General features: G+C 45.9%; 1 protein-coding gene and 1 long non-coding RNA gene across 5 annotated transcripts in view, besides 12 other annotated features; one reads left to right on the top strand and one right to left on the bottom strand.

Annotated features, from left to right (window-relative positions):
• The window catches only part of ARID3B (AT-rich interaction domain 3B), a 56,912-nt gene extending 44,568 nt beyond the window's left edge, over nt 1-12,344 (bottom strand). For 2 of the 4 annotated variants that reach the window (NM_001307939.2, NM_006465.4), the window contains exons 1-2: nt 12,234-12,344; nt 9,076-9,704 (exon numbers count right to left, since the gene is read on the bottom strand). In NM_001307939.2, coding sequence (NP_001294868.1) covers nt 9,076-9,627 — 552 coding nt within the window. In that variant the 5' untranslated portion in view covers nt 9,628-9,704; nt 12,234-12,344. Of the gene's footprint in view, nt 1-9,075; nt 9,705-12,233 lie in introns of those variants that run through there. The other 2 variants (XR_007064418.1, XR_007064419.1) reach the window with 1 other exon arrangement.
• Nucleotides 6,990-7,299: an enhancer, noted in NCBI's record as "active region_9784". NCBI's record gives its function as "activates an Ori minimal core promoter by ATAC-STARR-seq in GM12878 lymphoblastoid cells {active_cell/tissue: GM12878}" and the evidence as "EXISTENCE:reporter gene assay evidence [ECO:0000049][PMID:35858748]".
• Nucleotides 6,990-7,542: a biological region, named in NCBI's record as "ReSE screen-validated silencer GRCh37_chr15:74838363-74838905".
• Nucleotides 7,000-7,542: a silencer, noted in NCBI's record as "fragment chr15:74838363-74838905 (GRCh37/hg19 assembly coordinates)". NCBI's record gives its function as "represses an EF-1alpha promoter that drives an FKBP-Casp9 reporter gene in an ReSE screen in HepG2 liver carcinoma cells {active_cell/tissue: HepG2}" and the evidence as "EXISTENCE:reporter gene assay evidence [ECO:0000049][PMID:32094911]".
• Nucleotides 7,122-7,416: an enhancer, noted in NCBI's record as "tiled region #9638; HepG2 Activating DNase unmatched - State 8:EnhW". NCBI's record gives its function as "activates a minimal TATA promoter and a strong SV40 promoter by Sharpr-MPRA in HepG2 cells {active_cell/tissue: HepG2}" and the evidence as "EXISTENCE:reporter gene assay evidence [ECO:0000049][PMID:27701403]".
• Nucleotides 11,349-11,408: an enhancer, noted in NCBI's record as "active region_9783". NCBI's record gives its function as "activates an Ori minimal core promoter by ATAC-STARR-seq in GM12878 lymphoblastoid cells {active_cell/tissue: GM12878}" and the evidence as "EXISTENCE:reporter gene assay evidence [ECO:0000049][PMID:35858748]".
• Nucleotides 11,398-11,582: a silencer, noted in NCBI's record as "fragment chr15:74834323-74834507 (GRCh37/hg19 assembly coordinates)". NCBI's record gives its function as "represses an EF-1alpha promoter that drives an FKBP-Casp9 reporter gene in an ReSE screen in HepG2 liver carcinoma cells {active_cell/tissue: HepG2}" and the evidence as "EXISTENCE:reporter gene assay evidence [ECO:0000049][PMID:32094911]".
• Nucleotides 12,099-12,458: a silencer, noted in NCBI's record as "silent region_6652". NCBI's record gives its function as "represses an Ori minimal core promoter by ATAC-STARR-seq in GM12878 lymphoblastoid cells {active_cell/tissue: GM12878}" and the evidence as "EXISTENCE:reporter gene assay evidence [ECO:0000049][PMID:35858748]".
• On the top strand, nt 12,476-18,223 carry LOC124903528 (uncharacterized). Its single transcript, XR_007064719.1, has 2 exons — nt 12,476-12,666; nt 17,829-18,223. It is a non-coding gene; the product is annotated as an uncharacterized LOC124903528 (long non-coding RNA).
• Nucleotides 12,483-13,024: an enhancer, noted in NCBI's record as "NANOG-H3K27ac-H3K4me1 hESC enhancer chr15:74832881-74833422 (GRCh37/hg19 assembly coordinates)". NCBI's record gives its function as "activates a minimal SCP1, AML or CMV promoter by ChIP-STARR-seq in naive H9 embryonic stem cells {active_cell/tissue: H9 hESC(naive)}" and the evidence as "EXISTENCE:reporter gene assay evidence [ECO:0000049][PMID:30033119]".
• Nucleotides 12,483-13,088: a biological region, named in NCBI's record as "NANOG-H3K27ac-H3K4me1 hESC enhancer GRCh37_chr15:74832881-74833422".
• Nucleotides 12,759-12,908: an enhancer, noted in NCBI's record as "active region_9782". NCBI's record gives its function as "activates an Ori minimal core promoter by ATAC-STARR-seq in GM12878 lymphoblastoid cells {active_cell/tissue: GM12878}" and the evidence as "EXISTENCE:reporter gene assay evidence [ECO:0000049][PMID:35858748]".
• Nucleotides 12,959-13,088: an enhancer, noted in NCBI's record as "active region_9781". NCBI's record gives its function as "activates an Ori minimal core promoter by ATAC-STARR-seq in GM12878 lymphoblastoid cells {active_cell/tissue: GM12878}" and the evidence as "EXISTENCE:reporter gene assay evidence [ECO:0000049][PMID:35858748]".
• Nucleotides 21,689-21,889: a silencer, noted in NCBI's record as "peak2387 fragment used in MPRA reporter construct". NCBI's record gives its function as "represses an SCP1 promoter by STARR-seq MPRAs in K562 erythroleukemia cells {active_cell/tissue: K562}" and the evidence as "EXISTENCE:reporter gene assay evidence [ECO:0000049][PMID:32103011]".

Below are 24,803 nucleotides of genomic sequence, written 5' to 3'. Positions count from 1 at the left end.
ATATTTGGGAACCAAAAAATACTTTTAACAACCCATGAGTTGAAGAAGCAATTAAAACTGAAATTATAAAATGTTTAGTACTAGCCAACAATGAAACCACTACACATCAGAACTTGTGGGGTACAGCAAAAGTGAGATCCAGGGAAAACTCTATAGCCTTGAATGCATTTATTAAGTAACAAGAATTTCAAAAAATGTGTTCAACGTAAAACTAAAATGGCTTAAAAACAGAACACACACAAATGAGTACATGTAAAACTGAAGAAGAAATCTAAGTAGGATCAGTGGATGATGTCAACATCAATATCCAGGTATGACAGCATACTATACCTGTATATGCTGTTACCATAGGGAAACTGGACAAAGTGTACATGACATTGCTTTCTTTCAACTCCCTGTGAATCTATAATTAGCTAAATAAAAATTTCAGTTAAAGGAACATGGCCAAAATCCAAAGCACTAACGATACCAAATGCTGGTGAGGATGTGGAGCAACAGAAGCTCATTCACTGCTGACGGGAATGCAAAATGGTACACCCACTTTGAGACACAGTTGGGCAGTTTCTTAGAAAGCTAAAAATACTCTTACCACACAATCCAGCAATCACGCTTCTTGGTATTTACCCAGATAAACTGAAACTTATATCTACACAAAAACCTGTATACAGATGTGTATGATAGCTTTATTCATAATTGCCAAAACTTTGAAGCAACCAAGACGTCCTTCAGGAGGTGAATGGATAAACTGTGGTATGTCCAGAAAACAAAATATTATTCAGCACAAAAAGAAATAAGCTACTAAGCCATAAAAAGATATAGAGGAAGCTTAAATGCACATTACTAAGTGGAGAAAGCCAATCTAAAAAGGCTACATTAATGATCCCACCATATAACATTCTGGAGGAGACAAAACCATAGACAGGAAAAGAATCAGGGGCTGCCAGGGGTTAAGGGGGAGGGAAAGATGAATAGGTGAAGCACAGAGAATTTTTAGGACAGTGAAACTACTCTGTGTGATACTACAATGGCGGATACATGTCATTACACATTTGTCAAAATCCATAGAATAGGCTGGGCGTGGTGGCTCATGCCTGTAATCCCAGCACTTTGGGAGGCCAAGGTGTGTGGATTACCTGAGGTCGGGAGTTCGAGACCAGCCTGACCAACGTGGAGAAACCCCGTTTCTACCAAAAATACAAAATTAGCCGGGTGTGGTGGTGTATGCCTGTAATCCCAGCACTTTGGGAGGCCAAGGCGGGTGGATCACGAGGTCAGGAGATTGAGACCATCCTGGCTAACATAATGAAACCCCATCTCTATTAAAAATACAAAAAATTAGCTGGGCGTGGTGGCATGCGCCTGTTGTCCCAGCTACTTGAGAGGCTGAGGCAGGAGAATCGCTTGAACCCGGGAGGCGGAGATTGCAGTGAGCCAAGATCACGCCACAGCACTCTAGCCTGGGCGGCAGAGCGAGACTCCGTCTCAGAAAAAAAAAAAAAAAAAAAAAGGAAAGAAAGAAAAAAGAAAAGGAAAAGAAAATAAGCATAAGCAGAATGAAGGACTATAGAAAGCAAAAGAAGAGAATATTCAAGGAGGGAGTGCTCTGTATTCAATAATGCTGAGAAATCAATGAGGTCAGGGAAGGCTGGGCTTAGCAACATGGAACTTCAGGGACATGGAAGAAACAGAGATCAGACTGGAGTATGCTGAGGAGTGAGTAGGAGGTGACAAATGGAAATAAAGAGTAAAACCAATTCCTTTGAGAAGCTTTGTTGCAAGGATGTGGGGGATAGTTAGGAATAGAAAAAAAGCTGGCAATAATGTGCAATCAAGAGGAAATTTTTTAAAAGTGGTCTCTCATTTCCTTGTTAACAACTGACTCAGGTAAAATTTAAGATTAAAGGTTTTTGTTGTTGTTTGCTTGTTTTTAAGTCTGACAGAGAGAAGATGCGTAAACGTGGAAAAGGCCTGGAAGAGAATGAGCCCAAAGAGTCAGGAAATGGAGGGTTCACTGATGGAGCAAGTCCCTGGAAACCTGGAAGGGGATGGGATCTGGGACACATGTAGAGAAATTAGCCTCTGGTGAGAGGGTAAGGACCCAAGTCAAGTCAGTGATTGTGTATTTATAAGGACTTAGTATCTATAAAGCTTACTTCTACCTAAAGAACAATACACACATATCCCTATGCTAATACGGAAAGATACAGCTTCAGAAGCGCCATGGTTTAAGCTCACATAATCCTGAAAGGTTTCAGAGAACTTCAGAACACCAGAGTGTGGTCAGGGCTCTAGAAAACCTGAAAAGGAGTTGTTTTAGAGTAGTGGGTAGGATTTATGGAGCATCTTATCTACAAAGGTCATAAAGACTGAAAAATTATGATTGACCCTTCAACGTGGATTTGAACTGCCTGGGTCCACTTATATGTAAACTATTTTCAACCCAACTTGGATCAAAGACAAAATTTACGAGATGTGAAACCCATGTATATGGAAGACTGACTTTTAATATATGTGGGTTCCACAGAGCTGACTGCAGGACTTGAGTATGCTCAAATTTTGGTATATGTGGGGGTCTTGGAACCAATCCCCTGCATGTGAGGGACGACGGTAGCTTCAAAAAGGACTTAGGTGTTGATGACAATTCGCCCTAACCCTGCAAAGCTCTTTCACACTCATATTTTTCTTCTACCTTTGTAATATCCTTAAAATCACTTCCTGAGGATAGCGGGAGAGGATTATCATCCTCTGGAATAGATTGATGCATGGGTTCAGAGAGGCAGATTAGAACGCTTGTCCAAAGTACTAGAGCAAGCAAGCAGTGGAAGCAGGGTCTTTTTTCTTTTCCTTTTTTTTTTTTGAGATGGACACTCACTCTGTCACCCAGGCTGGAGTGCAGTGGTGTGATCTCAGCTTACTGCAAGTTCTGCCTCCCGGGTTCATGCCACTCTCCTGCCTCAGCCTCCGGAGTAGCTTGGGACCGCAGGCGCCTGCCACCACGCCCAGCTAACTTTTTTTTTTTTTGTATTTTTAGTAGAGACGGAGATGATGTTTCACTGTGTTAGTCAAGATGGTCTTGATCTCCTGACCTCGTGATCCGCCTGCCTCCGCCTCCCAAAGTGCTGGGATTACAGGTGTGAGCCACTGCGCCTGGCGGGAAGTAGGGTCTTAATCCACATCCTCTGGCTCCAAAACCAATGCTGATTTAATAATTAAATCTGTTACTAGGTAACAAGTCTGCCAAGTATTTACACTTTAACCTTTTGGGGTTAATGTCTACAAGGGCAACCAAGCTCTCTCATATATCACCAAAGATATCAAAGATATCATGGAGTGCTGGGCTGAAAGAATCACTGATAGAGTCAAGTAAGAGATCTCAAGTTCTAGGCCCCAAACCTTTCCCAAGTGACAGTCTGTTCACCTAGATGACTAGAGGAAAGACATGAGCTCGGTACAGATATTGAAAGCAGAAGTCAAGAAAATTCAAGGCTGCCAAACTCCTCAGTTACTGAGACTGAAACACAAAGGAAAAGAGTCTCTGGTGCTGTCTGATGATAGCGAAGCTTATGTTCTTTCTGGTTGCACAATCTAGAGCACGGTTTCTCAACCTTGGCACTACTGTTATTTTGGACCAGATAACTCTTTGCTGTTGGGGGGCTGTCCAGTGCGTTATAGGATGTTTAGCAGCATCCCTGGTCTACCCACTAGACGCCCATAGCACACTGCCCCCTACTCCAGTCATGGCAATCAAAAATGTCTCCTGACACTGCCAAATGTCCCCTGGGAAGGGGCAGGGGTCACCTCTAATTGAGAACCACTCAACTAGATGGATTCCATTGTGACTGCAGAAGGCAAGGGCATGCAAGGTAGCTCTATAAAGAACATGAGGAAAGCCTACGAACATTTTCTTTTTTGGGCAATACTTTGCACAGTTTTTTAAAAAAGCCTCAAATGTTCCATAGTCATGCTGTATCTTTTCTTTTTCCCTTTTTTTTTTTTTTTACACCATCTCACTCTGTCATCCAAACTGGAGTGCAAGTGGCATGATATCGACTCACTGCAACCTTCGCCTCCCAGGTTCAAGTGATTTTCCTGCCTCAGCCTGCCGAAGTAGTTGGGACTACAGGCGTGTGCCACCACACCCAGCTAATGATAGTCATGCAGTATCTACCAAGAAAAGTAGGCCTATCCCGGCCGGGCGCAGTGGCTCACGCCTGTAATCCCAGCACTTTGGGAGGCCGAGGCGGACGGATCACGAGGTCAGGAGATCGAGACCATCCTGGCTAACACGGTGAAACCCCGTCTCTACTAAAAATACAAAAAAATTAGCCGGGCGTGGTGGCGGGCACCTGTAGTCCCAGCTACTCAGGAGGCTGAGGCAGGAGAATGGCGTGAACCCCGGGGGGTGGAGCCTGCAGTGAGCCGAGATCATGCCACTGCACTCTAGCCTGAGTGACAGCGAGACACCGTCTAAAAAAAAAGAAAAAAAAAGAAAGAAAAGTAGGCCTATCCCAAGGGACTACACCTTAATTAGAGGGATGGCTTCTGGACACCAGTCAGTCAGTCATGGCATTAGAAGAAATGGACAGTAGTCTCCACTAATTGCCCAGCAGGAAGTCGACTCTCACGGTAAGATGAGATTGATTTTGCTCATGGTTAAGAATAGGCAAAAAAAACCCCAAAAAAACAAAAACAAACACGAAACTCCCTCTTCTCAAATCACATTCCCTTTGTCTCTCCCAGTGCCCATCTAACATGGCAATTCTTCCCATTTGTCATGGAGCTTCCTTTGCTTCTGTACTGCAGAAGTGCTTCTCCAACAAATTCAGAGAGAACCCACGCTGTCATGAGCTGAGGGTGCCCCAAGCGGCTTGGAGGTGTTTGAAATTGGTAATACCCTGTCCTTGTTAACACATGTGATTAGCAAGCTTTAGGACGTTAGGAATTCTTTAATTGCAAATATTCTGAAATTAAACCCTTCCATCCTAGAAGGCAGTCACAAAACAAAATCTTGTAAAACATGCTAGAAGGGGAAGGGTAGAGGAGGGGGCCAACATTTATTGTGCAATGGCTCCCAGTGCTTTCAACTGAATTGGCTGTGAAAGTATGTTAAGCCCGTGGTTGGATCACAGCCACATGCAGTAACCAAAGCGACTGCCAAAGTATGCAGAAAATCGGACACATGCACCCTGGCCCCACATGCCTGCCAAGCCATCTTTCTTCTTTCTATTCTATCGAAGGGGGTCTACACCCTTCTAGTAACCTAGCTCTACCAATGGGCTCAAGACAGACCCAGCCTGTACTGCTTGAACCACCTTCTACCAGAGGGGGAGAACACCACCCCCAAAAGGCCAGCAACATCCCCTAGTTGGCTGTATGATCTCCTTTGAGAAAAGGAACACTCAGTTCTTTGTCTGTTTTCTTGTTTTACAATTATTTACTCTGCCCATAGGAATCTGATGGGTTTTAGAACACTTGGCTCAATGGCGTTATCCATCTTCCCATCACTGTGGTGTCAGAGAATAATACCACACCTTAACAATCCAGGCCTTGAGAAGCAAATATTTTCTAAGAGTTTCTTCAAAGAGAATCCACGAAATAATTTTGACTTTACATGTTCTAAGTAAGGGATTTCAGATGCAAAGAATAATCTCTGGAACCCTTAAGCTTTCCCAGTTTCACTTTTCAGTTAGCAGATGCCTGTCCTCCCTTACCCCAAAATCTTGCAAAATACTTCTGAGTATTCCTGTTGGTTTGCCAAGCTATGCTATGCTGTAGACAAAATTAACTTTTTAAACTTTGGCATGTGAATGTTTGAAACAAAACTCTGTTTTAAAATATCTCTGCCATAGCAGACTGGGTGGCTGGGCTCCAGTAGACTCAGGACAGAATCAAATTATTGTAACCCAAGTTCGAATCCCCCTTGAGGTTCCCACACTGCCACCGCTAGACCTGAACTCCCTGAGAGAGAAACATGCCTTGTTTCATACAGCACAGGTCTGGCACAAAGAAGCCTCTGTAAAAGTTTGTTGTTCAAAAGAACAAGATGGACACTGTATCACATTAACAATAAGATCTGTGTCAGGGTAGGCGCGGTGGCTCACGCCTGTAATCCCAGCACTTTGGGAGGCCAGGACGGGCGGATCACTTGAGGTCAGGAGTTTGAGACCAGCCTGGCCAACATGACGAAACCCTGTCTCTACTAAAAATACAAAAAAATAAATAAAAATAAAAAAATAAATTAGCCAGGCATGGTAGCATATGCCTGTAATCTCAGCTGCTAGGGAGGGTGAGGCACGAAAATCACTTGAACTCAGGAGGCGGAGGTTGCAGGAAGCCGAGATCGCGCCACTGCACTCCAGCCTGGGCAACAGAGTGCGCTCTGTGTCGGCGGGGGAGGGGGAAGGCGGGGGGGAAAGATCTGTGTCAATTGTAAAGGTCTTTGTAATTGTTGCTGGAGCAAGGGATATTCTATTTTTGCACTCCATTAAGTTTCATAAAGTAAAGATTTTGAACAACAAAACAAGCTAGTCTAATGATCTGTAATGGTTTCTATAGGCTCTCCCCAAGAATATTATTATTTTTGGCCCTTCTAAAATATACTAAAAAAAAAGTTTTAAAATCCCCAAGCATATGATTTACTCCTTTAAAATCAGGATTTATAGAAAAGGAGAGCACAGATCAAATCAATGTTAAAAATTAAAGGGGAAAAGGACGTGCACATCTGACGGTTTAAGTCATTGCTACCCAAAGCCCCCCAGTTCAGTTCTTGATCTCCAAATCCTGGGGGAAGGTAAATTTTGGGTGAGGGATTATACCTCAGCTACTGTGGTATTTATAAAACATTTTGGCAGGTGCTCTGCCAAGCAGTCTATAATTAGTGAATATGCCTCAGAAACATAAAGTGAACGCAAAGAGTTTCAAATGCCAACAGCCAGCCCCCTGAATACTGAGCTACGTAGTCATAGGGCTGCCACCATCTAGATAACATGATGCTGGGTGCCCTGCCACGGTGCACACGTGTGCACATGCACACGCCAGTTCTGAAGAGTCTTTTTTTAAACCTCTAATGGCTTGACCTCAACACCTGCTACACTTCCTGAAGACAGACAGGCTCTGGAGCTCCACTTGTTCCTCGCATGCGGCTGCACTTTCTAGGAACGACCGCACACACGCAGACGCTGGCCAGCTGCCAAGGCGGGGGCAGCCCAGCCGCCTCGGGCCTGAACTTTCCCAGCGCTGTCAGGGCAGGATCCTGCTATGAGCTGACTCAGCGGCCGGTATGGAACTCTGCCAACCACACAGCAGTGCGGGGGCAGCCGGCAACTCACAGATGTTTTGCTAAACCAAAGCAATCAGTGGGAGGCGGGTCTGGGCTGGCGGCCAGGGTGCTGCTGTCGTGGAAGTTGGGATTCTCTGATTCTAGTCCTAGCTCTGCCACTATCTCCCTGGGTGATGAGTGAAAACCTCTGTGTATCTCAGTACATCTCCCACTTCAGAGGCATGTCTATGTGATGCAGGAGAGGATGGCACTGTTTACATAAAAGAGCTCCCCCGGGCACTATTACCTACCATGTGCCTGGCACTGGACAAGCTTTCACATGTGCTAGCTCGGTTAATCCTTACAACATCCATGGGAGGCAGTGGCACTCTTTTTATTTCACAGATGAGAAGACACAGGCTCAGAGCAAATCAGAGCCCTACTAAAAGATCACAAGGGCAATATTTGGAAGTGATGGGATTTGAATCCCACTGCTGGCTGCAAACACTATTGTTGTAAAACTCAGATCTACTGTACAGACCTCCTGATCCAAGATGTTTGATTTTTTGGGTTCCAAAGGACCTTTCTTATATGACTTCTCAGTTGCCCTGTGAAAACCCACAGCTTTTCACAAATGATTTCTAAACAGTACCACTGGATCACAAGAAGTGTGTGTGCTTCTGCAGGGTACCCATGAACTCCCTTACTAAGCACCAACAAGTCACTTAAGCTGGAACAACTTATCATCACTCCCATCCTTTGGGCGAGGAAAAACTATATTATGGGTCACAAAGAGAAGAGGCTTGGTTGAAAACAAAGATTCCCTAGGCTCCACCCTCCAAGATAATTCATTAGGACTCAGCAATCTGTATTTTTTAAAAAGCTCCCTAACTGACTCTGATACTCAGCCATTTGGAAGTCACTTCAGCTTTCCTTGACTAAAAAGGAAATTTTGAGGTCTACCCTTCCCTGTTGTCAAGGGGATGATGTAAGAGTGAAATGAAATCATGTCTACAAGGCTCTTTGTTGGAAAATATATACAATGCAAGTGCTTCTTGTCAGCTGTGTTTAGCTCCAAAACAACCAACTGTCCTTAAAGAGGGTTAGCCTGGAGCTAAGAAACTGTCTTAGGCAAGAACTTTCTTTTACATTACTGTTAGAAACATTATTATTAGAAAAGCTGTAATTAGTCACACATCTCATTTTAGATATTCCTCACAACACTGTTGCAACTTCATCCTTCCTTTAAAAAAGAAGATTGTATTGACATTCTTTCACATCAAACTTGGCAAAACCTATATTAAGAGTAACATACAGGCCAGGGGCGGTGGCTCATGCCTGTAATCCCAACATTTTGGGAGGCCGAGGCAGGCAGATCACGGGGTCAGGAGATCGAGACCATCTTGGCTAACACGGTGAAACCCCGTCTCTGCTAAAAATGCAAAAAATAAGCCAGGCATAGTGGCACGCGCCTATAGTCCCAGCTACTCAGGAGACTGAGGCAGGAGAATCGCTTGAACCTGGGAGATGGAGGTTGCAGTGAGCCGAGATCATGCCACTGCACTCCAGCTTGGGTGACAGAGTGAGACTCCATGTCAAAAAAAAAAAAAAAAAAAGAGTAACATATATTTCATTGCTTTAATGAAGAAAATAAATATTAAATAAGAAAAAAATCCAAAGTCTATTCATGTCTAGGCTGTTGGTCACCGAAGTGGGGTGAGAAGGCACAGACTGGCACAGCCCCTGACCCTGTCAGTCCATGACCCCTCTCTGGCCTTCAGGAAGACCAAATGACCTACAATACCAGAAAGACTGACCTGCTTGAGCTGCTCATCCAGATTCCAGTTCGGCTGTCCTGCTGTGGAGACAGAAGGTGAGGCCTTGGAAGCATCTTTGGTATGGTCTTCTTTAGCTTGTTGTCCATGTGGTGGGAGCCCTGGTGCTGGAAGTAGATTGGACATGGGTGCCACTCTGGGATCTTGGCGAGCTACTTTCTGCACATGAAAATATTTTGAAGCAGCCTGGGTTTCTTTCTCAGCCACCTCTGCAACTTCATCATCCCCATCCTCATCTTCCAAACCTCCGTCCTCTTCCTCAGGCTCTGAGTTCATGTTGCCCCGTTCAAACACTTGGGCCACTGCTGCGGTGGGTGGAACTCTGGCTAAGGGACCTAAGGGAGTGCTGCCAGAAGGTCTCCCAGCTGTGGCGGAAAGGAGAGTCGGCTGTGTGACCAGCTTTTGGGCATACAAGAACTGGGCTTCTCTCATCTGCTGGCCCTGCTTCTCTCTGGCATCCATCTGCAGAGGAGCCAGGTGTGGCTGCTTCTGTTGTTGCTGCTGCTGCTGCTGCTGCTGCTGAAGTGGCTCCATTTTTGCCTCAAGCTTCACCCACAGAGTGGCATGACTCTGAACCTGGGCACAGCCCACCAGGCACACTGGGTCTAAACCTTAGTGATTAACAGAAACCACAAAGAAGGAGGGGGAAAAAACAACCATGTTAAGCAGGTATAAAAAGGTTTCCTTTTCTCCAGTAGAGGGCCATGAGTTCCGAACGCTAAACATATGCTCCTAAACCTGAGTTTTAAGATGAGTGAGTGGTGGGGGTTTCGTGGGTGGGTAGGAAAAGGTGTGAAGAAGAGAAACAGGATCTAAGAGGGGAAATAGGGAATGAATTTCAGTAGTAGTAGCAGGCTTTAAAAGAAGTACATCCAGCCAATATCTAGTCTGCTAACGTGTTCTGATCTCTCTTCCTCTACATTATCAAACATTAATCTGTTACTGAACTAATGTTACTGAACATTAATTACTGAAAAGGTAACTGGGTTTGCACTGTAGCAGAAGCATAATTATGCAAACAACAATAATAAAGGAAAAGAAGGACCTGCCTGCAAAGGAGAGAGTATGTTCCCAAGCCCACAGGAGAAAGATATCACCTCTAAGCTAGACACAGAACTATCAGGCAGACAGTTTTACTCTCATAGAAAAAGCAAGACCAAGCAAGCTGCTCTTGGGTCTAAGCTTTTCAAATTTCCCTGATCAAATTGCCAGCCTGCTTGTTGAGTGGACTGAGCCATACTAACTGGACATTATAGCCTCAAAAAGAATCCAATTTCAACAACATGAAAGAAACACGCAAGGAGGCAAGAGTCTCAAATTGCAATCGTCACTCAAAAGCAAACGGGGGAATTCCTCTGGAGATTTTAAAGTTAATTAATTTGAAACAGATATCAACATTGTCTGAACAACAAGTTAATGCTGCTTCTTTTTTATAAACAGCGAAGTAAATCTCTTCACATCCCCTTTCTTTCTGATTCATTTCTATTATGATATTCTCTGACAAACACAAAAAGAAAAGTCTTTCGGGCCAAAAGCATTCTGGGGGCAGGTTTATCTGCATTCTTACCAATCAGTCTCCAAACACACATCACTTTCACACCCTCTTCTCCTTTTACTCCCCCACCTCTCCCCTGCAGGCCCTCACCCCCAACAAACTTCACTTGAGTTATGTTTCTTCAGCAAGTCTCCATAACTGAATGGATTACTATGCAAGGGCAATTTTAGGTGAACAGGACTTGCAACATGGCGTACAATTTTGTCATCACATGAAAGAAGCTGCACTGCACATGTTGGGACTTGATATCTGCATTGTTCCAGTGTTTTAGGATTGGGTCGAAAGACAAAAAACAAAGTGTCTTTAGTATCTTCAAAAATTCACGGAGAAGTAATCACATCTTCAGCAATAAAAACTGCTTGGATTTAAGATTTTTTCCAGGTTAGAGTAAAAAAGGGTACAATTTTTAAAGCTAGGCCAATTAGTAGAGATTAAAAATTCTCATTTTCTGTTTATCTTATAGCCCTGTTTGTGCCTTTTGTGTTCTGTGAAAGATTCGCATTCCAATTTGCCTCTTACTGCCTTTACTTCCTCTCTTGGCACTTCAGAAAGTGTGAGTTACGCTTGCAGCAATACTTTCATTCTGCTTTAGCTCTTCTTACAGTGTAAAAAAGCATGACAAGATTTACATCCACATTAAATTCAGTTGGCAAAAGTGTTCATTTAAAATGAAAACAATTTGGGTCAAAGAAAATTACAGAATAAAGCAAATAATTCGGTGTTCATTTTAAATGTCCTCATAGTCATTACAGTCAATCAATCACGATCGGAATAACTTCTCAACCAAGTCCTGCCAGTCACTGAACAACTGCTTCTTGTCTTGTGGCACCATCTTCTCTGAATGCTGTCCCCAGCAGAGGGGGAGGTGTCCCTCCCACAGCCTCTTATAGTAAGACTGAGATGACTCAGTTCTACAACTCAATACACACACCCTCCCCCAAAGAGCCCATTTTCCCGCAGTCCCTAAGCAGCCAGCGATCCAAACAATGCCACCTGCCTACATTTGGAGAACTTATGTCTCAAATCTAAACCTCTTCATCCCTTCACACGGGCCCCTCCCCCATTTCCCCTAAAGTTCCCGGACCACCAAGCCGGGTACAACGGACTACCTGCAGCTTTGAACCCGGCCTGCTGACCATTCCCCTGCTTTTGCTGCCGGATTCTTTTGGCCCCGGGCCCCTGTAAGCCCCACAGCCCACCTTCCCGGTCACCCCTGCACGCCTCCCCCCATTCTTTATTCACCTCCCCCCATTCAGCCCTATCATTTTTACCTCTACCAACCCTCCCAGCCAATCCGCTGGCTCTTCCGATGGCCCCCGCCCCACCTATCTGCGCGCCCACTCAGCTCCAGGGCCCCTCACCCTTCTCATCGCTTTATCTCAAACGCTTTATCTCAAATGCCCTAATGGGCACAGGGCGCTCGGGGCTCCCGCGGCGCTCTCACTTTCCTTCGCGGTCCCCGCGCCCCCGACTCGCGCATTCCCCTCTCTCTCTACACCTGCCTCGGCTCCTGGCCTCGGCCCCTCCACCTGTCGCAGCCTCCTCTCCCGCCATGCCTGAGGGAGCCCGGACCCGGGCCACTTACCTGTGCGGGGCACTCCGGGTTTTCGGGCGGCGGAGGAGGCGGCAGCTCAGGCCCCGGCGCGGCAGCTGCGTCTCGGACTCCTCCGCAGCCGGGGGCCACAGCCGGGGCGGGGCCCGCACCGGAAGCGGCGCCGCGGGGCTGGACCGCCAGCCAGGGGCGGGGGCGGGGGCGGGGCGGGGCCACAGGGGGCGGGGCGGGACCGAAGCCGGAAGCTGCTAGAAAGGGACCGGGGGGCGGGGTGGGACGAGGCGGAAGTGACTCCTACGGACCGCGCAGCCCGACTGAGTTGTGGGAGGAAGCGAATGGAAGCGGGCGGAAGCCTCGGCCAATGGCAAAGTGCGGACACAGAGGGGTTCCGGTGTGAGCACTTCCGCGGGGAGTTGAAAAGAGCTGGGCGGGAGATCGTGTTCTCCGAGCGTTTTCTATTGCGGAGGTTGGTGTGGCTTGGGCGGTTGGCTGGGAGGAAAGTAACTAAAGAGCAGAGGAGTGTAGGGTTTGCCGTCGCTTCGGTCCCCTCCTCAATCTCCTGCCTTCAAGCCGGTCTTCCTCAGAGGTTCTCGTGTTTAGATCAGCTTGTCTCTAAACTTCTCCGCTCCTTCCTGGGACAGAGACCTGGCTGTCCCGAGAATGTTGCGTCCCTTGAAACTTTCTCACATGAATTAGTATTCTCAGGTCTCAGTTTGCAGAGGTCGGGATTATGTGCCAGGTGCTGTCACCTCTTGTAAAAACACTTGCTTCTTCAGCCCTTCCCCTTAGACTCTGTCACCTACTTCACCCCGTTTGGAGATAATCTGCCGATCTGTGTATCCAGCTCCTTGTCTGTCTCCCGTCTGACCATCTTTGATAATTTCAGAGCCTATGTGGCCAACCCATTCAACATCGGGCCTCGTCTTTAGCGACCCTTATATCAGCCTCCCAATCCCAGTTAAAACCTGGACCTTGTCCCTCCAAACGCTATCGCGTCACGACTCAGTAATTTGAACAACCCTCTTTTCAACCACAGCCTGCTATTCTCTCAGCTTGACTACTTTTGAATTATAGGCCTGATGCAGTAGCTCACGCCTGTAATTTCAGCACTTTGGAAGGCTGAGGCAGGCGAATCTCTTGGGCCCAGTAGTTGGAGAGCAGCCTGGGCAACAAGGCGATACCCCATCTCTACAAAAAATACAAAGTTTAATGAGGCGTTTTGGCGCATGCCTGTGGTCCCATCTACTCGGAAGGCTGAGGTGGGAGATCACCTGAGCCCAGGAGAGGCGGAGGTTGCAGTGAGCCATGATTGTGCCACTGCACTCCAGCCTGGGTGACAGAGACACTGTTCCCCCCCCCCAAAAAAAATAGAATTACAGCATAACTGTTATTACTGTTATTTCACTTTTTTTTTTTAGAAGGAGTCTTGCTCTGTCGCCCAGGCTGGAGTGCAGTGGCGCAACCTCAGCTCACTGCAACCTCCGCCTCCTGGGTTCAAGCAATTCTACTGCCTCAGCCTCTCGAGTAGCTAGGATTACAGGTGTGCGCCACCAAGCCAGCTAATTTTTGCATTTTTAGTAGAGACAGGTTTCGCCATGTTGGCCAGGCTGGTCTCGAAGTCCTGAACTCAGGTGATCCGCTCGCCTCGGCCTCCCATAGTGCTGGGATTACAGGCGTAAGCCACTGCACCCGGCCTGTTCTTTCACTTTATCAGAGCAGAGCATCTAATCGGTTGAAAGCCTCTACTTTATCTCTTATACATTAATCCCCTCTTCACTTCCTTCCTTATCCATTTTAGATTCAGTGGTACATTAATACAGTCCTGCCCCTACTTAATCTTAATCCCACCACAACACTCCTTTTTCCCCAACGAAATCCCTCACCCTGGATGGACCTATGTGTTTCTCCTTGCTTGTACCTTGTCATAGAAAGTTGTCCTGTTGCTGGGCGTGGTGGCTCATGCCTGTAATCCCAACACTTTGGGAGGCCGAGGTGGGCGGATCACGAGGTCAGGAGTTAGAAACCAGCCTGGCCAATATGGTGAAACCCCGTCTCTACTAAAAATACAAAAATTAGCTGGGTGTGGTGGCGCATGCCTGTAGTCCCAGCTACTGGGGAGGCTGAGGCAGAAGAATCGCTTGAACCTGGACGGCGGAGGTTGCAGTTAGCCGAGATCACGCCACTGCACTCCAGTCTGGGTGACAGAGCAAGATTTCATCTCAAAAACAAAAAAATTGTCCTGTTGAGGCCGAGCACGATGGCTCATGCCTGTAATCCCAGCACTTTGGGAGTCCGAGGCGGGTGGATCACCTGAGGTCAGGAGTTTGAGACCAGCCTGACCAACATGGTGAAACCCTGTCTACTAAAAATACAAAAATTAGCCGGGCGTGGTGGTGAAGACCTGTAATCCCTGCTACTCCAGAGGCTGAGGCAGGAGAGCTTGAACCTGAGAGGAGAGGTTGCAGTGAGCTGAGATTGCATCATTGCACTCCAGCCTGGGCAACAAGAGCAAAGCTCCACCTCAAAAAAAGAAAAAGTGTCCTGCTGAACAGATTGGCGTCACTACATTAATAAAGACCAACTTTAAATGGACTGTGGGTCAGGTGCGGCGGCTCACACCTGTAATCCCAGCACTTGGGAGGCTGAGGTGGGTGGATCATGAGGTCAGGAGTTCGAGACCAGCCTGGCCAACATTGTGAAACCCCGTCTCTATTAAAAATACAAAAATTAGCTGAGCGCAGTGGCAAGCACTTGTAATCCCAGCTACTTTGGAGGCTGAGGCAGAAGAATTGCTTGAACCCGGGAGGTGGAGTTTGCATTGAGCTGAGATCGCGCCACTGCACTCCAGCCGGGGTGACAGAGCAAGACTCCGTCTCAAAAAAAAAAAGGACTGTGAACTGTGACTAGAAATTTCATTATATTTTTCTAGTCAACTTGCTCTCCACGATCTCTACAAATCTCTGACCTATACCCTTACCACTTCCCCTGACTTCCTTATCATGTAAGTAACAGAAAATGTAGAATGTCCTGAAATCGAGAAACCTACTTACTTGCCTTCCCATCCTGTCCTTACCTCCTATTTATTCAATCAAAAATATTCATTCAACTCCCACTATATGCCAGACCAGGCACTCATGTAGGTGCTTACTGAGCAATGGACAAAACAAATTCCCTGCTCGCAAGGATCTTTACTAGTTCGAGGAGAGAAAACAAGTATGTAATGTCAGGGATATATGCTAAGAAAACAAAGCAGGGTAGGGATTAGACAGTGGTGTCAGGTAGCTGCTATTTTAGATGTTAGTCAGAGAAGAATTTATAAGGAGCCCTTAAGCAGAAACTGGCCTTGACTTAATGGGTGTAAGCCATGTAGATATCTAGGGGGAGAGTGTTCCAGGCAGAGGAGACAGCAAATTCAAATGCCCTGAGGCAGGAGCCTGCTTGAGGTGCTATGGGAATAGCAAGGAGATCACTATGTTGATTCAGAGTGAGTGATGGGGAGAGTGCTAAGAGACCAGATAAAAAAGGTAGCTGGGGCCTTACCATGCAGGGCCTTCTCAATTATGGCAACAATTTTGCCGGTCACCACTGAAAGCCCTGGAGAGTTCTGAACACAAGAGCTACTTGATCAGATTTATATCTCTAAAGGGATCATTCTAGCTGTTGTGTTGAGAATAGACTATGAGGGTAAGGGGTAAGAGTAGAAGCACTAATCTTGGCAGAAGATGATGGTGGCCTGAACTAAGTAACAGCAGTGGAGGTAGTGGTAAGTGGTTAGATTCCACGTGTATTTTGAAAGTGGAGCTGGCTGAGCGAGCCAGTGAGCACAGTGGCCCATACCTGTAATCCCAACACTATGGGAGGCTGAGACGGGTGGATCGCTCGTGCCTAAGAGTTCGAGAACAGCCTGGGCAACATGGTGAAACTCCGTCTCTATCAGTAAATACAAAAATCAGCCAGGTGCGATGGTGTGTGCCTGTAGTCCCAGCTAGTCAGGGCTGAGATGGGAGGATGGCTTGAGCCCAGGAGATGGAGGCTGTAGTGAGCCATGATCATGCCACTGCACTCCAGCCTGGGCAACAGAGAGAGACGCTGTCTCAAAAAAAATAACTAAATAAAAAGATAAGAAAGTGGAACCACTAAGATTTGCTGATGGATTGGTTGTATAGGCTAGAGAAGAGAGTGAAGGATGATGCCAAGGTTTTTGGCCCAAGTAATTGTTAGAATAATGGTATCATTTGCTGACCTAAGGAATACCAGCAGAAGCCAACACCAATGGAATATTAGCAATAAAAAGAATAAAGTATTGATATACACAACAAGTAGGCATTATAACTACATAATAATGAAAGGATTATGCCAAGTAAACTAAGTCAGTCTCAAATGACACACATACAAATATTGAAATTATAGTTTGGAGAGTAAGTCAGTGATTGCCAGGAGCTAAGGGGGTGGAGGGAATGACTAAAGAGATAGCAAAAAGGACGGTTTTAGGGTGATGGAACTCTTTTGAATCCTGATTTTGGTAGTAGTTACTTCAATCTGTACATGTGTTAAAATCCATAGGACTGTATATAACAAAAATAAAGTCAATTTTATTGTATGAAGTTTTTTTCTTAAAAGCCAAACTCCAGGCCGGGTGCAATGGCTCATGCCTGTAACCTCAGCACTTTGGGAGGTCGAGGCGGGCAGATCACTTGAGGTCAGGAGTTCCAGACCAGCCTGGCCAACATGGTGAAATCTCGTCTCTACTGAAAATACAAAAATTAGCCAGACATGGCGGCAGTTGGCCGTAATCCCAGCTACTCGGAAGGCTGAGGCAGGAGTATCTCTTGAAGCCAGGAGGCAGAGGTTGCAGTGAGCCAAGATGGTGCCACTGCACTCCAGCCTGAGCAACAAGAGCGAAAACTCCGTCTAAAAACAAAAAAGCCAAACTCCATAGCTGTTCAAGTTTCCCTTCACAATTCTTAGGGATCTCCCTTTAACCTCTTGCAATGTTGGATCCTTTCATTAGTATTCAAGCAAACTCTAGTTTCACTCATCTTTTGCTTTCAAAAGAAGAAGGAAAAAAAAGCCTTTCCCTCAATCCCACATTCTGTTGACTAAAGCCTTATCTCACTAATTCCCCTTCCTGGCAAAACTTCTAGAGTTATTGTCTTCACTACAGCTCAAGTGATCGGATCTTTCTCCTTAAAATGCTCTATGGCTTCGCATTGCTCTTGGGATCAAGTCCTAAATTCCTTTATGTGGCCTACAGGGCCCTAAGAAGATCTAGCTTCTTGCCTACCTCTTCAGTTTTATCTCTGTCTCAAGGTATAGAAAAGGTCCTAGGAAAGTGGCCCTACTAGTTGACCTCAGTAGCTGAAACAGAAAAGCATGCTCCTCCCATCACAGAAATATGATATAAGTAACAGAAAATGTAGAATGCCCTGAAACCTAGATGATTAAACCCTGAGATACGTGCCCATTCATGTTACAAGGAATATCATTTAATCTCTACTTTAGCTTCTAAAGGGTAGTGGGTTGAACAGAATAGCCACAGTGTTTTTCAGCTTCTCCAATGCAGAGGTGGAGTCTGTTTCTCCATTCACTGAATCTAGGCTTGGCCGTGTGACTTGCTTTGTCCTGTAGGACACTGGCAAATGTAAAGCAAGAAGTGTCTTGAGAAGTGATTACAACAGGGGGTTGCTTTCTCTTGCTGCTGTGACCTCTTCCACTACCACGAGGATAACTCCTACTAACCTAATGGATGATGACAGACACATAGTCATCACCCCATCTGACATCTGACCAACTGCCAGACATGTATGAGTGTGGCCCCTTAGACCAGCTAGCCTGCCAGCAACTACCAGACATATGAACAAGAGCATTCTAGACCATCCAGGCCCAGCTAAGCTGGCCCAGACCAGAAGACTTCCCCAGCAAACCCACAGACTGATGAAAAAGAATAAATGCTTATTGTTTAAGAGTGAAACCAGTAAGTTTTGAGGTAGTTTGTTCTGCAATAAAAACTGAAACACAAAGCATGTCTTTGCAGCTCTCAGGATGGATTTGTTTGGTGTACTTCTTGGAGTGCCTGAAGCCAACATGCATCAGCTTCACAGAGCTGGTCTGTGTTACCTTAAGTTATCTCATCAGATTTCTCATAGTTTTGCTGATTTATAGCAAAACATATTTAAGGCTTAATAATACACATCAAGTCTCTTGTTATTTCACTTGTTCAGTGAAGGTAATTTTATTTGCAAGGTTTTCATTCATTTTATTACTTTTTTTTTTTTTTTTTTAATTGAGCCGGGTCTCACTGTACTACCCAGACTGGTCTTGAACTTCTGGGCTCAGGCGATCCTCCTGTGTCAGCCTCGAGGTCTCACTGTGTTACCCAGGCTGGTCCGGAACTCTTGGGCTCAAGCAGTCCTCCTGCATCAGCCTCCCAAAGTGCCGGGATTACAGGCACAAACAACTGTGCCAAGACTTGTTACTTTTTTTTTTTTTTTTTTTTTTTTTGAGACAGGGTCTCTCTCTTTCACCCAGGCTGGAGTGCACTGACATGATCTCAGTTCACTGCAGCCTCTGCCTCCCAGGCTCAAGCGGTCCTCCTACCTTAGCCTCCCGAGCAGCTGGGACCACAGGTGTGCACCATCACGCGCAGCTAATTTTTGTATTTTTTGTAGAGATGTGGTTTCACCCTGTTGCCCAGGCTGGTCTTGAACTCCTGGACTCAAGTGATCCTCCTGCTTTGTCCTCCCAAAGTGTTTGGGATTACAAGCGTGAGCCATCGTGCCTGGCCCTTGTTACTCTTCTTTTTTTTTTTTGAGACAGTCTCACTCTGTCACCCAGGCTGGAGTGCAGTGGTGCGATCTCAGCTCACTGCAAGCTCCGCTTCCTGGGTTCATGCCATTCTCCTGCCTCAGCCTCCCCAGTAGCTGGGACTACAGGCACCCGCCACCAAGCCCGGCTAATTTTTTTTTGTATTTTTAGTAAAGACAGGATTTCACTGTGTTAGCCAGGATGGTCTCGATCTCCTGACCTCGTGATTCGCCCGTCTCAGCCTCCCAAAGTGCTGGGATTACAGGTGTGAGCCACTGTGCCCGGCCCTTGTTACTCTTTTTTTAAAACAAAGGTTAAGGCCAGGCTCGGTGCCTCTTGCCTATAATTTTATCACTTTGAGAGGCCTAGATGGGAAGATCACTTGAGGCCAGGCATTCAAGTTCAGCCTGGGCAACATAGCAAGACCCTGTCTCTACAAAAAGGTTTTTTTTTTTTTTTTTTTTTTTGAGACGAAGCCTCATTCTTGTCCCCCAGGCTGGTGTGCAATAGCCTGATCTCAGCTCACTGCAACCTCTGCCTCCTGGGTTCAAGTGATTCTCCTGCCTCAGCCTCCTGAGTAACAGGGATTACAGGCACCTACCACCACGCCTGGCTAATTTTTGTATTTTTATTAGCGATGGGGTTTCACCATGTTGGCCAGGCTGGTCTCGAACTCCTGGCCTTAGATGATCCGCCCGCCTCGGCTTCCCAAAGTGCTAGGATTACAGGCGTGAGCCACTGCACATGGCCTGAAAAAGAATTTTTTTTTTTTCTTTTTTTTGAGACGGAGTCTCAATGTGTCACCCAGGCTGGAGTGCAGTGGCACAATCTCTGCTCACTGCAACCTCCGCTTCCTGGGTTCAAGCAATTTTTCTGTCTCTGCCTCCTGAGTAGCTGGAATTACAGGCACCTGCCACCACACCCAGCTAATTTTTGTATTTTTAGTAGAGATGGGGTTTCACGATGTTGGCCAGGCTGGTCTCGAACTCCTGACCTCAAGTGATCCACCTGCCTCGGCCTCTCAAAGTGCTGGAATTATAGACATGAGCCAGCGTGCCCAGCCTCAAAAAAGTTTTTAAAAACTGCTAGGAATGGTGGTGCATGCCTGTAGTCCTGGCTACTCTGATGGGAAGCTGAGGCAGGATCACTTGAGCAGTGAGCTATGATCATGCCACTGCACTCCAGCCTGGGCAATAGAATGAGACCTTGTCTCAGAAAAAAAAAAAGGTTAAGTTGTATAAACATTGGACATCATTTTTTACGTATGTTTTGCATGTTTAGTCTTTTTTTTTTTTTAGACGGAGTTTCGCTCTTGTTGCCCGGGCTGGAGTGCAATGGCAGGATCTTGGTTCACCACAACCTCTGCCCTCCTGGGTTCAAGCGATTCCCCTTGAGTAGCTGGGATTACAGGCATGTGCCACCAGGCCTGGCTAATTTTGTATTTTTAGTAGAATCAGGATTTCTACATGTTGGTCAGGCTGGTCGCGAACTCCCAGCCGCCTGGCCGTATATATCTTTTTTTTTTTTGAGACGGAGTCTTTCTCTGTCGATCTCAGCTCATTGCAACCTCCACCTTCCGGGTCCTGCCTCAGCCTCCCGAGTAGCTGGGATTACAGGAGTGCACCACCACACCCGGCTAATTTTTTTTTTTTTTGAGACAGAATTTCGCTCTGTCACCCAAGTTGGAGTGCAGTGGTGCGATCTTGGCTTACTGCAACCTCCGTCTCCTGGGTTCAAGCAATTCCCCTACCTCAGCCTCCCGAGTAACTGGGATTACAGGTGCCCACCACCACACCCAGCTAATTTTTGCATTTTTAGTAGAGACAGGGTTTCACCACGTTGGCCAGGCTGGTCTCAAATTCCTGACCTCAGTGATCCGCCTGCCTTGGCCTCCCAAAGTACTGGGATAGGCCTGACCTTTTTTTTTTTTTTTTGAGATGGAGTCGCGCTCTGTCACCCAGGCTGCCAGGCTGGAGTGCAGTGGCACAATCTCGGCTCACTGCTACCTCCGCCTCCCGGGTTCAAGTGATTCTTCTGCTTCAGTCTTCCAAGTAGCTGGGACTACAGGTGGGCGCCACCACGCCCAGCTAATTTTTTTTTTTTTTTTTTTTTGTATTTTTAGTAGAGATGGGGTTTCAGCATATTGGCCAGGCTGGTCTCGAACTTCTGACCTTGGGATCTGCCCTCCTTGGCCTCCCAAAATGCTGGGATTACAGGCGTGAACTACCGTGCCTGACCAATTTTTTTTTTGTATTTTTAGTAGAGATAGGGTTTCGCCATGTTGGCCAGGGTGGTCTTGAACTCCTGACCTCAAGTGATCCACCTGCCTTGGCATCTCAAAGTGCTGGGATTACAAGTGTGAGCCACTGAGCCTGGCCTAAATTTAGTCTTAAATGTACAGTGCATAAAAGCTAAGAAACAACGGGTAAATGGCCATATTATGGGATAATAATCTCGTAACTAATGAGATCATAACTAATGAAGGGAAAATGCCTTTAGTTTTGTTTATGATAGCCAGTGTAATTGTTAATGTAATTGTGTCTGTCTTAATGAGATTTGATGTTTTAGCATGAGTGGGTGTTAATTTTGGGACACTGTGCACATATAAAATGTTTTCCCATTGAAATTAAGTACTGATTACATTTTCAACTTGAATTGCCCCACAAGAGGTTTTTTAGGATTAACTACCCCAGGAAGGCAGGAAAGGACTGTCCTGTAGTCACTGTACCTTTTACTGTCATGGAAAATTAAAATGAAACCAGATGATTAAGGTTTCCACTTGTCCTGAGATGAAGGTGTAGCCTGAGGAGCCTCTATTAGCATGTGTAAAGCCTCTGCTGAGTAAATGGTATTAACTTGTGTAAAGAAAGAATGTGACTAGGGGGCCCAGCAAGGAGGTATATCAAGTCAACACATTCCTGAGGGTATCTCTCTAGCTGTGGTGGTGGATGCGTCAGTAACGTATCTGCAGCCTGAGTGGGCTTTCAGTGTGTTTTCCTGTGGGTAGGGGATACGACCATCAGGCTGACTACTGGGTGTCCTCTTTCATAGAACTGTTTGTATTTTAAGTCAGACAATTGGTATTTGGTGTCTGGTGACCTGGGTTATGTGAAGTGTCAGCCTCCACTAACCACTAAACCCTGGGGAAATGCCAGTACCTAGTTACTGAGGCTCAAAGGTAAACTTTGAAAACTTTTTCAGAGTAACAAGCCCTCCTGGCAGTGGGCAGACCAACATTCCCCTGAAGATAGCTGCTCTCTTGCCACATTCTCTTTCCACATGCCTTCACTGCAAAGGTCTTCTCCAAGCCTGGGACTCCGATTTGCCAACATGCTGATGAACTGACTTGACTACATTGTTCTGTCTCTCACCTGTGAATGGAAGAGGTTAGACCTCTAAGGCAAGCAAAAAGGCCAATCCCAGAGTGACTCATCTTTGAAAATATTGGATTGTCTCACTCTCCCTGATACTTAATTAAAAGCCATCTTTGCAAAGCATCATCCAATTTCTGTAGTGGCCCCAGCGCTCAGTAGTCCCAGAGACTGTCAGAGCAAAAGGGAGCAGGAGGCAATTCAAGCCATCTGTCCTAGAATAGGACACCTGGTCACAGGCCTGTGCCTCTGGTCAGGGCTCTTTGGGAGCCATCTGGCCCTCCATCCCATAGAGCTGTGCTGAGCCAGACTCTGTCAAGTATTGGTGAAACTAAGAGGAGAAGGTACACAAGCCAAAGTTAGCCTGGCAGTGAGCTTGACTGGGAGAGTTGCAGGGCCAACCGATTCTCATAAATGTGTCCACAGATACCTACACAGGTGTCTCAAAAAAATACATAAATAAAATAAAGGAAGCTAATTATACTATAATGGGAGTTTTCAGAATTTTATTAAGGTGAAATCTATGAAATGCCAGAAAGGTTAAAAAGCTTGTCTACTTCAGGCCTTTGCTTTCTGCTTTATGGCAAGAGCACATGTTGAATATTTAGATTAATTCAAACCAACCTCAACACAAATTTTTAACCCTGATGCAATTTCGGGGAACAATAGTTAACATCATTTAGGAATACAATTTAGAACCCTCACCTTTAAAAATGGAGCCAGATTTTCAATCTCTCTAATTAAAGTGAAAGTTTGATTTCCTAATGCTTATAACTCTACTGAGATTGTGTTGGAAGAGAAGAGATTGATTATAAAGCTAACTGATCTGATGTCCTCCTGACCAATTCCCTTTCATCTCTCTCCCCACAAAAAGGGACAAAAAGCTTAACACTGTGGTCATCCAGCAGCCAGTCATTTCCTAATATGGACAGTACAGTCCTTCAGTTTCACTTCCAGAAGCCAAGTACTAGGAGAATAGTTTTTACATTTGTATATGTTTCCTACACCTCTTTCCCTTCTCAGTCCCAAGAGAGAAGCCTCTGTGTTGCTTGCTTTAACGTTAATGATGATGTCTGCAATGACTGTATTTCCTGAACCTACAGTATGGGATCAGCTCCAACACGTCACCCTAATGTTTGATTACAAAATTTAAATGAATAATCACAAAATTTGAGGCCGGGCGCGGTGGCCCACGCCTGTAATCTCAGCACTTTGGGAGGCCACGGCTGGCAGATCATTTGAGGTCAGGAATTCGAGACCAGCCTGGCCAACATGGTGAAACCCTGTCTCGACTAAAAATACAAAAATTAGCTGGGTGTAGTGGCAGATGCCTGTAGTCCCAGCTACTTGGGAGGCTGAAGCAGGAGAATCGTTTGAGCCCCAGAGGCAGAGGTTGCAGTGAGCCGAGATTGCGCCACTGCAGTCCAGCCTGGGCAACAGAGCGAGACTCCCTTAAAAAAAAAAAAGAACCAAAAAATTTGAAGAATCCCTCTTTATTAAAAATGAATGATTACCAAAAAAAATGACTAAAGGTATTAAAAATAATGAAGTCGATATACTTCTACTGACTGAGAAGATGTCAGCAGTACAATTTAAAGAGAAATTAGCAGCCAGGTGTGGCGGCTCACACCTGTAATCCCAGCACTTTGGGATCGGAGGCAGGTGAATCATGAGGTCAGAGGTTCAAGAAGAGCCTGGCCAACATGGTGAAACCCCATCTTTAATAAAAATACAAAAATTAGCTGGGAGTGGTGGCAGGCGCCTATAATCCCAGCTACTTGGGAGGCTGAGGCAGGAGAATTGCTTGAAGCCAGGAATTTGCAGTGAGCTGAGATCACACCATTGCACTCCAGCCTGGGCGACAGAGCCAGATTCTGTCTCAAAAAAAAAAAAAAAAAAAAAAAAAAGGAAAAGAAAAGAAATTGGCAGGCTGGGAGAGGTGGTTCACGCCTGTAATACCAACACTTTCAGAGGCTGAGGCGAAAGGATCACCTGAGCCCGGGAATTGGAGATTAGCCTAGGCAACATAGCGTGACCCCCATCTCTATAAAAAAAAAGTTTTTAATTAGCTGGACATGGTGGCTGTAGTCTCAGCTACTCAGAAGGCTGAGGTAAAAGAGTTGCTTGAGCCCAGGAGGTCGAGGCTGCAGTGAGCCATGACCATGCCACTGCACTCCAGCCTGAGTAACATAGTGAGACCATGTCTCAAAAAAAAAAAAAAAAAAGAAAAAAGAAAAAGAGAGAGAGAGAGACTGGCAAGTTGCAGAGAAGTATGTAAAATAAAATCATTTTGAAAAAACTGAACAATGATTTAACCTTTTGAAAACCAAGGCGCCCACCACCATGCATGGCTAATTTTTGTATTTTTGGTAGAGACAGGGTTTCGCTATGTTGACTAGGCTGGTCTTGAACTCCTGATCTCAGGTGA

Source organism: Homo sapiens, chromosome 15, assembly GCF_000001405.40.
Source record: "Homo sapiens chromosome 15, GRCh38.p14 Primary Assembly".
Taxonomy (NCBI): Eukaryota; Metazoa; Chordata; class Mammalia; order Primates; family Hominidae; genus Homo; species Homo sapiens.
This window is presented reverse-complemented; position numbering and strand designations above follow the sequence as displayed.